At 39.6% G+C, this 12,103-nt stretch overlaps 1 protein-coding gene across 7 annotated transcripts in view; it reads right to left on the reverse strand.

Annotated features, from left to right (window-relative positions):
- Window positions 1-12,103, reverse strand: part of ACVR1 (activin A receptor type 1) — a 139,885-nt gene that overhangs the window by 36,156 nt on the left and 91,626 nt on the right. For all 7 annotated transcript variants that reach the window (NM_001111067.4, NM_001347665.1, NM_001347664.1 and 4 more), the window contains 3 exons: window positions 7,736-7,999; window positions 5,530-5,741; window positions 1,487-1,586 (listed from right to left, as the gene is read on the reverse strand). In NM_001111067.4, coding sequence (NP_001104537.1) covers window positions 1,487-1,586; window positions 5,530-5,741; window positions 7,736-7,999 — 576 coding nt within the window. The remainder of the gene's footprint in view (window positions 1-1,486; window positions 1,587-5,529; window positions 5,742-7,735; window positions 8,000-12,103) is intronic.

Genomic DNA, 12,103 nt, shown 5'->3' on the forward strand with positions numbered 1-12,103 from the left:
TGAAGACTAATCTTGAGATAGCTTGCATGGAATAGTAGTGGAGAGGGGAGATGAGACAGGGAAATGTACCCCTTCAATGTCTTCCCACCACTATCCAGATAATCTTGTTCATAATCAAATAAGATACTAGTTAGTACAAGAGGACAACTCTGGTTGAAATTAATGAGCACATTTGGGGCTTTTCCATCTTTATTTTCTCCATTCACAATCTGCCGTGGAGGAGAAGCGAGAAGCAGCAAACAGTGACAATAGCCGTAGACCTAGAGAAAGGACAACCAAGCTCCCGCTGGTTACTCCTGTGCCTTGGGGCAGCAGCCACTGCTCTTCCTACCTCTGCCCTTCCCCGTTTCTACTACTCAGACTGGGGGTGTCCCTCTTTCCATGAAAACAAGAAGAAAATCTGGAGAACAGCAGCCAAGTGGTGGGGGCAGCTTATAGGTCACCTCCCAAAAGCAAAAGATGCAACGGCAGGAGCTGCAAAATCCAGCCCTCGGAAACCATGAGCACTAGGAGGAGGGTGTGGAGAGGTTGCCAACCCATTATTGCTACTGCAGCCATCCCTGCAAGCCGTCTAAAAGAGAAACTTAGGAAAATGATTATGGAACTTGCAAATACCTACCACATAAAAGTAAAGCTAACAAAAATCAGGAAATAGGCACTTTGTACCATCTTCCAAGAGAGCCAATCAGCAGCATATAAAACAAGCTGTAAAAAACATTTACAAATTTTGACCCAGGAACCCCCAGTTCCTGGGAATTTTTTCTGAGAACTCAAAAGAAAGAAGCAATGTGTGCAAAATCTTTTTCAAGCAGTATGGTTATAGTTACACTATCATTCCACGGACTGCTACATAATCTTCAAAAATATTTGTGATGTGTACAAACACATGAAATGTTTATGAGCTTAAAACTGAAAAAAGGGACATAAATTATATATACAACATGATTATGTCTACATACAAATATGTTCATGTATTGGGAAAATGTGAGAGGCCATGGAGAAATGTATATAGCTCATATTTAAATAAAGGAGTTATAAAGATCCCTTTGCTAGAATTGGTTTCATTAATTATGTTCATTAATTATTGCCATTAAAAAGAAGAAAAGAATGAGAGGAATTAAAGAATTGCAATAAAGAAGTTCATTGTCCAAAAGCCTACTTACTTCAGAGTATCCAATACCTATGGTAAGGAGCAACCATATCAATTCATTTTTTGGGCATTCTCTCATCATCCCAAAGGGTCCACTTACAACTGAAAGCTTTTGACTCTGCATTCTCTGTACTCATTAGTGATGGACTCCTTTGATAAGAGCTTAAACAAGTTCAGGTGCTCCAACATTAGTCATACAGAATAGAGACCACATCTCATAAGTTTAATAAGGAAACAACAGGTAACAAAAAGCAGATTTTCCAAGTTCCATCTTTTACTTCAAAAACAAAACTAACATTGCATATTACCCACAAAGAAAGGAAAAAAAAGAATTACCGACACACTCCAACAGTGTAATCTGGCGAGCCACTGTTCTTTGTACCAGAAAAGGAAGACCAGAGCCACTTCCTGATGTACACGAATGATCCAATAAATCCTGTGGTTTAAGACAAGGGGGAAAAGAAACGATTGAGCAATATAGCTCCCACTTTGGAGTATTAGCATGCATGACATTGTAACTCACATGAAGGGCAGCAATCCGGGACACGTGGCCTGTTAGTGTACATGTAAAGCTCCTCTGGAAGAAGGAAGAAGGACTGGTTTTATTGTTTTGTATTTTTTATTTTTTTTGAGACGGAGTTTCACTCTTGTTGCCCAGGCTGCAGTTCAATGGCGCAATCTGGGTTCACTGCAACCTCCACCTCCCGGGTTCAAGTGATTCTCCTGCCTCAGCCTCCCAAGTAGCTGGGGTTACAGGCACGCGCCACCACGCCCGGCTAATTTTGTATTTTTAGTAGAGACGGGGTTTCTCCATGTTGGTCAGGCTGGTCTCAAACTCCTGACCTCAGGTGATCTGCCTGCCTTGGCCTCCCAAAGCACTGGGATTACAGGCATGAGCCACCACGCCTGGCCAGGAAAAGTTTTATTTCTTCGGAATACTAGAAGCTAGCACTTCACCTAATATATGATAGGTTTTCCCGAAGGATAAGTAGTCCTTTCTTATACACAGAGTTTCCAAATAAAATATATAATGAAAGAAGCTGAGCAGACAAAGTTGAAGGTGTAAATCAGAAAGCCCAAGAAGCAGATATGATCTCAAGGAAAGCAGTAGAGAGAATAGCAGGTGGAACAGAAAAGGGTGGGGGGGGTCCTTTCAACTTCAAGAACTGGGTATAATTTACATATTTTGCTATTCTCACTAAGTATCTGTCAAATGATTCACTTTAGTTGCCATACCAACTAAGGAACTCTAATTAGGAACAAACAAACTAGGAATAAGGAACAAACAACTCTAATGTGATTTGTAACGAAAAGACTCCAATGACCATGTGGATCATTAAATTGGTAAGCGCAGGCAGCAACGGGCTGCCTGGATGGAGGTTTCCTTTTAGGCAGGTGAGGAGCAAAACTATATCAACACCTACTTATCATTTCTTAATGTGAATCACTCACAAATCAGAAAAGAAAACAAATAAAGCTTTCATTGAAAACATAAAACCAGTGCCCCAAGTCAATGTCTACAAATGAAGGTGTTGGCAAAAAGATTCCCAGTTAGTTCATTGATAAGGTTTTCCTTCTTACTCTCAGCATAAGCCAAGAAGCAGGTATCAGGCATAGATTATCTGTAATAAACAATATTGTGCCGATGGGTGATAAAGGTAGAGTTGCAGTAATATTGACTTAATATTCCCCAAAGCTCATCCTTTCCCAAACATTTTGGCTGGCCTACTAAAGCAATACATTGATTTGTGTGAATTTCATCTTCTTTCACTTCTTCTGAGCACCACTGTGAAGTACTGTTGATCGGCAAAATTACCAAAAGCTGAGCATCCAACGGAAGAAATTTAGAACCCTTAAAAACCACAAAAGGGATAATCAACAAGAAAATGAGTGTAGATGAAGCAGAGTTTCATATCTCCCTAACCATTTTCTCTCTTGCGGTTCTTTTTGCTCCTTATTCATTCATTCTTTTTCGAGAAGAATAATTCTGAAAATTAAACTAATGTGTTATTTTTTCCATAATGTATGATCCTGCTTCTAAACCCTGTTCACAGACCTAAGGAAAGAAAAATAAAAAATCAACCCAAGACTAACAAACGTATATCCCAACTCTCAGATGCCAAGCCTTCTTTTTGTTCTTTTCTTTTCTTTAGTTCAAGACAGAGTTTCACTATATTGCCCAGGCTGGTCTCTAACCCCTGGTCTCAAGTGATCTTCCCCCTTGGGCTCCCAAAGTGCTGGGACTGCAGGCATGAGCCACCATGCATGGCCAAGGCTTGTTTTTCAATGTAGACGTGCTGTTTAGTAAGGGCATGCTTTGTTGAAACATACAAATGAGCATATTGCTTAAATAAGCAAGTATGTAGACCAATAATGACAACTTGTTTTAAATAGTGTTCTTTACTGTGTTATTATATCATGATACACTGTCACATGACATGGTTGAGTTTAAAGGACTATTTTGGCATATGCTCCATTCCTCTCTCAAAATTCTAAAAGCCATTTAAACAGTAATTTATACCAGATATTCCTATTATTGCCCTTGGTAATTAGTTATGTTAGCAGCTCTGAGGAATGAAGTTCTAACTAACCTATTTTAGAATCTTGCTTTGCTAAAGCTTTGTCAGGATTCATCCTCACATCTTCTTGCTACTAACTCAATAAACTCATTTAATTTTCCTTAAAGCTTGAAATAGACTTCTAAGTATATATCTAACAAAAAAAATTGTATTTCTCTACTTTTTGAAATGAAATGTCCTTATACTGCATTCTCTTTCCCCAGTTCCACTGTACCACAGTTTAAACAGTAGGTAAATGGAAGCTACAGAAGGTTACTTCCCCCTTTTACATACCAAAAAGTGGCCCAGTGATGGATGGGGCAGGCAGTAGAATGGGATGTTTCCCAGCCCATATCAGGCACTACCAAATGTCTGTGACAACCTGCCACAGGTGGGTCCTGCAATTGTCCAGGTGTAGCATCTGTGCTACCCAGATGGTCACTGGTGAGGGGAAGTCTTCTCCAGCATAAGGGGAGCTGCAGGGCAAGTGTAACTGCAGAACTATCAGACACTTTGAAGCTTGCTGTCTAGCAGAACAAGACTTACTGCAAAATGATTTCAAATACACATGGGCAATGGCATTAAGTAAAACTGAATCACATTAGAAAGTTATTACTTTGATTGTCTTTCAATTAATCGGATTGTGACAAGGAGTCTCAAATTGGTATTGGCATGTCTCTTGCACTCACTTAACACCCACAAATCTCAAATTTTTCAGAGTAGGCATCAGACTCAGCATAATATCCATGCAGAATGTTATTATTTTTTCTTTTGCACTTTATGATAACCTTCTATTTAGAGCAAGTGATACCCTTTCCCCACTTAAAGTTCAAAGCGTCTTTAAAATGAACACTTGGTAAGCAATTTTAAAAGGTAAATAGAAGGAGATAGTCATTTTTTAATGTGATTTTATCATTTAAAAATATGCAAAAGAATAATTTTTTAATGTATAAATACAATAGTTTCTAACACTGTGCAGTCCAGCGGGTTAATCACTAGCCACACATTGCCATGAGCAAGTAAACTGTGGCTGGTGTGAATTGATATATGCTATAGGTGTAAAATACACACAAGATTTTGAAAATTTACTTCAAAAGCAAAAAGAATGTAAAATTTACATTAATAATTTTTTAATCGATTATACGTTGAAATGACAAAGATGGTATGTATTTGGTTGAATATCTGTTAAAATTAAATCTACTTTTACGAAACTTTTTGGGTTTTTTCATGTGTTTGTTTTTAAGGTGGCTACTTGAAAATTTTAAATTACATGTGATGCACATGTTTCTATTGGACAACACCGGTTTAACCAAATGACTGCACTCCACAAGAGGGCACCACAGGAGCATACAAAATTTAAAAGCTGCTTTTTTGGATGTCAAGTTTTTAAGCCTTAAATTACAGGATGCTGAAATAATCTAGAAAGGAAATTAATATTTAATATTCAGCAAAAGGTGCCTTTTTAAAGGAGCACTTTTATGGCTAAAAATAGAGTAACTGAAGACCACAAATTCCAACCCTCCAAAACTGTAGGCAACCATTCTCTGTCTCTTTTGCTTTACCCCTCAGAGAAAAGTAACTAACTACCAACACTACTAAAATAAATCCCATCCCTTATTTAAATGTCTATCTAAAATGGCTGTTCTGATATGGGAAGACTACACAGGTGCCAGCATGTGCTTGTTTAGGACATAAGTAACCAACAGCATGTGTGTACACTGTTCAGTCACTCATTACTGGTTAGCGTTTCATGCTCGAAATAAGAACGTGTCTCCAGACACCTTCCTTATGCTTGGGATTTCCTGTGGGGTCATGACTTACTGCTAAAGTGCTGTCTCCAACATTGGTGGTGATGAGCCCTTCGATAGTGCCATACTCCACGTCTCGGGGATTGAGGCGTTCTTGGTTGCGCCTTTTAAATTTTCGGAGAGCAACTCCCAGCAGGCAGGCTAAAAGACATACTGCGAACACTACAGAGAGAATAATGAGGCCAACCTCCAAGTGGAAATTCTGTGTTCCAGGGAAGGATTTTCCTGGAGTTGGAGGGAAAAGGGGGAATTAGTTGTAAGGATCACTGCTTACTTATTATTAGCATAACCAATATCCTAACAAGTAGCTCCTGATCCTGACCACACAGTCTCACAACTCACGAAGTATTAAAACTAAAACACTTCCTAATGCCTGGCCAATGGCCCAGACATTTTAACCATCATTCAATTAGACACAACTAGAATTTGAAAAAATTCCACTGAGAATCAATTGCATTAATGTATGAATGTGAGAGTGCTTTTAAAATATAAAGTACTGTACAAATCTTTGATATTACTCTCATTAACTTGGATTTGGTATGTTTCGCCATCAAGCCCTTACAGACACTGTACTATCCTTAAGAGAAAGGGCTACCTGAGCTAAAACCAAATTACCCATCTGTGGTCTCTGTCTTTAATATATCCTGGGTGTCTACTGCTGGTTTCTCACTGATTTTTTTACATCACAATTTCTGCCTAGGAACCCATTCATTCCTCTCTTCATTTACTCGCTTATTCAGACATTCATTCACTGATTCACTCCCTGGGTTCAGACCTCTCCATGACATTATGTCATCAGGCCCTGTTCTTCCCTACAGAGGCCTTACCCATTTCCATATTACTGGTCTCTTCAGCCATCCAATCACAAGCTTAACTTCCTTTACGTATTTGTTTAACTTTCCAAGCCCAACTAATCAACAGCTTGGCATACATCATACTCCATGGCATATGTCATTTGCATGAGAAAGTGTAAAACTAACAAAATGCAACGCTGAATTATAAATACTGTGGCCACGCTAATCAGATTAGAATGTCCTTAAATTCAAAAAAAAAAATCTTCTATTAAAACTCAAGGTCTAGCAGAGTGATCTGCAGATTAGAAACTTCACAGTTGGTATAATAATGTTTGTATGAATTCAGACATTTGTTTATGTCCATCCACCCAATTAATAAAAATTTAACTCACAAAGTATAACAGTAAATTTTATTCCATCAAGGACCCTTTTAGTTTTAACCATGTAAATACTTGATCTCCTTTAAAACCCTCTTTGATTATTCAATCCTATTTGCTTGTCAGAATTTAACCTTTTCCATATGCCTTAAAGTCATCACCATAACTTCAAAATTACTAGAACATGATCTTGCATCAGCTTTTTTGTTCTTCTGCCTCCTTTCTTGCTGGCTGACATTTCTAGTTTTGGATGCTCGTCGTTACCTCTCCTCCACTTTTTGGTTTGTTTCTTTTTTCTGAGTGCAAAATTAAATAACTAAACCTATTAAAAATGTACTATATGGTAAGAGAATAAATTTGGCTTGGAATGAGTTTACATAAATGTTTGCAGAGACTTTAAGATTGCAATTTAGGGCTCATTTAATAGGGAAACAGTTTCAGAGCTGGACTGGTTTCCTTAGCATATGCAATCTGTACTGATGGTAGAGAGAAGATTCCACAAAAACTACAGGGTTTGTGCGAAATCTCATCCTGCTTCAAATTTCAGTGATAGGGTCACTGGGCATCAGATATGGGAGAAGAGGTCAGTGAGCCTTCTTTTATCTCCTTCCTCATAAAACAGGAAAGGCATTCCACTCAGTCACCAGTCCGTTCTGTTTTCCTCCCTACACACTTGACACAGAGATGAGTATTTACTAGCAGAATTGTTTCAGAAATTATGAATGACATCATGGGTCAGTAACATAAAAAGGTATTGGGAGCTGTTCACCTGAGTCACAGCAACCAAGAGAAAGCTAACTGGTCAGCTAAGCTGTCCCCAAGATGGACATCACCTTGCTTACATTCCCCAAAATGCCCATCCTTCTTTTAGATGCCAAAAGGCTGTTCCTTTCTCTTCTTCACCCAGGGTGACCTTCCTTGTAGCTCTTCGCCTCTGATTCAAAATGTAGGTGGAATGCCTCATAGCTACTTAGATCTTTAACCCACACGGACCCAGGACAACACTAACAAAACCCCTTGATCTAGAAATAGAAAAGTCCATGGGAACCTTTAGTGGGCAGCTGGGCCGTGATGTTCCTGTTACACCAGTCCCCTTGGCAGCACTCCACGGCTTGGCCAGGGGACGGCGGGGTCTTACAGGTCATCTTTCCCTGCTCATAAACCTGGAAGCAGCCTTTCTGGTAGACGTGGAAGCCATCGTTGATGCTCAGTGAGGAAAAGCACTGCTGGCCTTCACAGTGGTCCTCATTACCGCAGGAGAGACCTTCACACACACACATGTAGAGTTTGGGGTTGACCTTGGGCTTCTCATCTGCAAAGGAGAGAAAGGAAGGGGAAAAAAAAAAAAAAGAGGAATTACCGTATGAGTTTCACCTTCATTGAGGGAATGACCATTCCAAACACCTCTATCAACAGAAAGTCAAGCTAAGCATCACCATCAACCATGAGGTCCACATTCTGTCACCTTGTCACCTAACCAACCAACAAATAATAATTGCCTCTCAACATAGCGATTCATTTATATAAGCTGTGCACCCTTTTAGATCATATTAGGACAAAGACTGGCTATCATCTGTCCACAGACTTCTGAAAATGAGCTTCTCCCCCTGTGGTGTTCATATAACCTTCAGCGTGATTGGCTCTAAGATCCCAATTACTGCATCAAAATAAAATGTTTTACTGGAACATAATGTTTATCACCTTTATTCTATTCCAAAAAAAAAGCTCCTAAATATATGGCAGCTATTAATACTAATTTTTGCTAGCTCTGTACAAATCCCCATCAACTCGTAAAACAAGGAATGCTGACATTCTTGCAGGTACATGGCAGAAATATACTACAAACTGAGTATCCCTTACTCGAAATGTTTGAGACCAGAAAAGTTTCAAATTTAAAAATTTTTCTGGATTGGGGAATAGTTGTATTTATCCTGGCTGAGCATCTCAAATCCAAAAATCCAGAATTCAAAATGCTCCAATGAGCATTTCTATTGAGCATTGGGTCAATGCTAAAAAAGGTTTGGATTCCAGAGCAGTTCAAGTATCAGGTTTTGGGATTTGAGATGTTCAACCTGTAATATAATAAGAGTTTGCAAGGCTGTACAATCTATAATTACAATCCATGGTACCAATATTTCCAGCTAGATGCCTAGACTAACTTTTTCACTAGTGGTAACACTAAAGTTTACATAGATTATAGTGGGAATTAACACCTGCTTAAGAATTTTTGGCTGGCAGGAAAAAAATGGTGCCAAATATGGAGAATGAGGGCACAAGGAGACCAAGAGAACCGAATAATGTTTGAACAGTAAGGTGACAGGTGGGACCACTGGAAGAATACACACCTAGGGAGTTCAAGGTGCAATGGAAAGAGGCAGAAACGGATGATCAGGGAAGCACATCTAATCACTCTGCTTAATTGTCTCTTTCTGAGAATACTTATTTGCATCTGCATTTTCACATTACTCTTTTCTCTTCCCTTGTCAGTATGATTAGTTTAGACTTGCTGGTCCCACAGTTTCTACTAGTGGGGAAGGAAACAGAGGATAAAATGTAAACAGCCAAGTCCTAGAGGCCACTGATTAGTTAGCTGAGGCCACTTTTGCCGAAGCACTGTTCATATTAGGAAATTCAGCTTTCAGAGCTCCCTCCAAAGGTCTATGGCACATAGAGGCTGCCTTCTAATCCCTGAACCCTCAGTAGTGGGTCTAGGAGATAAATGCTTCTTTCTTAAAATAACAGGTTGGGTGGCTGTGCTTTCCAGAGGAGACCTTAAGGTAAGGTCTTTGAAAATGTCAAGTTCATTTACACAGATTTGTGTGGGTGTGTGTAGAGATGTGGGTTATCTCAAAAAGAGAAAAGCATTCTTAATCTTTCTTCTTCCCTCTTCAAAGAAGTGGAAAAATAGTTCACTGCCCACTGTAATGTGGGTGCCTCGTCCCACAGAGTAAGTGCATGCAGACACACAGACACAGCCTTCTATTTATAATTGACTTGCTAGTTCCTTTGAAAACCACAAGGGGCTCATCCAAGAGCAAAGACATGCCTGAAAGCAGAAAATCCAAAATAGCCGCTGACAGTCTATGTATGTCACCAGTCTCACCCCTGAGAATCAAGAGCCCTCAAACATTCTTAATGAGCAAAAGTTTTAATGAGCAAAGAGATAGTCTTTATGTTCCTTGCCTGGAGAAATCCGAAGGAAATTCCAGCACCAATCTATTTCTATGAGGATGAGAAACATGTATATCTGTTGACATAATCCAGCAAAAAGTTTACACTTGCCAAAAGAGAGCTGAAGGATAATATTTCCAGGGAGTCTAGACATGCTTGCCACTCTTGAATGGCACAAAGCAGGCTGAGGGCTGCCAACTATGCTGCCCAACAGGTGATGATTCTTTGGAGGGAAGTGGATGGGTGGAGTGAGGGGGAGAGTTCATGGTGTCAGACTAATTTGCTTGTGATCTATGGCAGAGAATTGAAAAGACTATGCTTAAACCTGAAATAATGCAATTTATGTAAATTTGAAACACAAACATGTATTTTAACATCCCGAGTACTTTTAAAAGATCATAGATACCCCAGGATATATACCTAACCCATTGAAGAGTATGTGCCTGTTGACACTGGTTTGGGGATAAGGGGTTAGCACTGGGATGAAGGAGCAAAATAAAAATAAAGTAGGAGAGAGCTGTTCATGGACTGACAATGAATTGACGAGTATGATTTACTCAGCTCGCTGAACGTATGGGCTGCTAAGAATAACAATAAACCAGCAACGCTAGACTAGAAGAGAGCCTGCTCATCATTGGTCCTAAATGGTCCTAAACGGACAGTCCAGGGAACCAAAGGATTAAGGACACCCATGCTTGTAATTTAAAAATGCCAAATTTTAAAAAAATAAAGTAACAACAACAATCATTTCTCTAATGTGCTCTCAAAATAAACTGTTTTTAAAGTTCCATCCCAAACTAAATTCTAAGTACACAGATGCAGGAAGGGGCACTGCTTTTCCAAGGTCTCTAGTTTTTGACAGGCTGTGCAGGGAGCCTGGCAGACGTTTGGACTATAACCTAAAGAGTTTGCCAGACGTGACAGCCTCAAGTAAATATCACCTTCAGTAAAATTTAACTCATTATACCTAACTCTGTGGTGTACCTAGGCTTTAATCCTGCAGGGTCACAAACTAAATCAAAGAGATTCATCTGTTTATTAAGCACTCTCCTTAAATTCTTTATATACTTCCTGTAGTTGTATGTGGACAACCAGGGATTAACTGCCTGTAAGTTGGTGATTCTTTTCAGTAAGATGTGAAATACCAGGGTTTTCATAACCTACCCTCCACAACTGGGGAAAAAGGCAAGGAAAGACAACTGTTAATGATACGTAATAATTAACTCAATCTCTGATATGAAAGAACCCTGAGCTGAGTCTAACAGCTAACAGGGAAGTACAAAACCTTCACTAACTTCTCTTTCCTATTCTGTTCCTCATCCACTGTTCAATCTTCTTACTTTGTATATTCCCATATAACTAATTAGCAAAGTCCTTCATCATGTATTTATTTTTTATATATACCCAAATATAAATGAAGACCCTAAATTCATAAGAATGACAGGATGACCACACAGGTGCACACACATGCATGCACACACTCACATTCGCTACGTGCCACCTTGGCAATTTCATCTGACAGAGTGGAGTAGATGGAAGTATTTTCTGAACTAGAATTATGAAGTCAACAAAGAAGGTTTAAAGCAAGGTAGTAATAGCATTCTCGGATCTTAATATCCACAATTCTAAGGAAGACAGCGGGACTCCAAATGTCCATGACTCACTTTTTCAGTCTTGTCAAATTTAGGAATAAGCATAACATGTGTGGGCCTGTGATATTTTATTTGGTGTGGGAGTGGGGGTGGGGTTCGAGAATGATCACAAAACCCCTTTCAGGGCCACAGGTATGGGTGTGTGGACTCCTAATCTTTCAGGCTGTGATATAAATACAGTACACATCAAGGAACACCAAGGAACAGATAATCAGATTCTGTGACTGATTTTCAACAGTACTGACAGGAAGCACCGTATCTGATGTAAAGTATTTTACACTTGCCTGTGCGAATATCCAGGAAGTGCCCTGGCAGAAGGCAGAAAGTCTACTCCACCTAATTGACATTCATTTGAATAATTCAGTAATTTAAATGTCAAGCCAGAGGTATTCCCTCTCTGCAGAGCTCACCCACATTGTTTGTTCTAGAAGGCACCTCCCGGCATTACTCAGTGTTATGGCTGGCACTGCGTGCCCTTTGTATCACCAGAGCCAGAGCCGTGTGAAAACACTCGCAGCCTGGGCTGGCTGGGAACAGCAGGGAGTTCTGACCACAAACAGGGACTGCTTCGGAACCGCCAGGGAGAATACGGG

Source organism: Homo sapiens, chromosome 2, assembly GCF_000001405.40.
Source record: "Homo sapiens chromosome 2, GRCh38.p14 Primary Assembly".
NCBI classification, from domain to species: domain Eukaryota; kingdom Metazoa; phylum Chordata; class Mammalia; order Primates; family Hominidae; genus Homo; species Homo sapiens.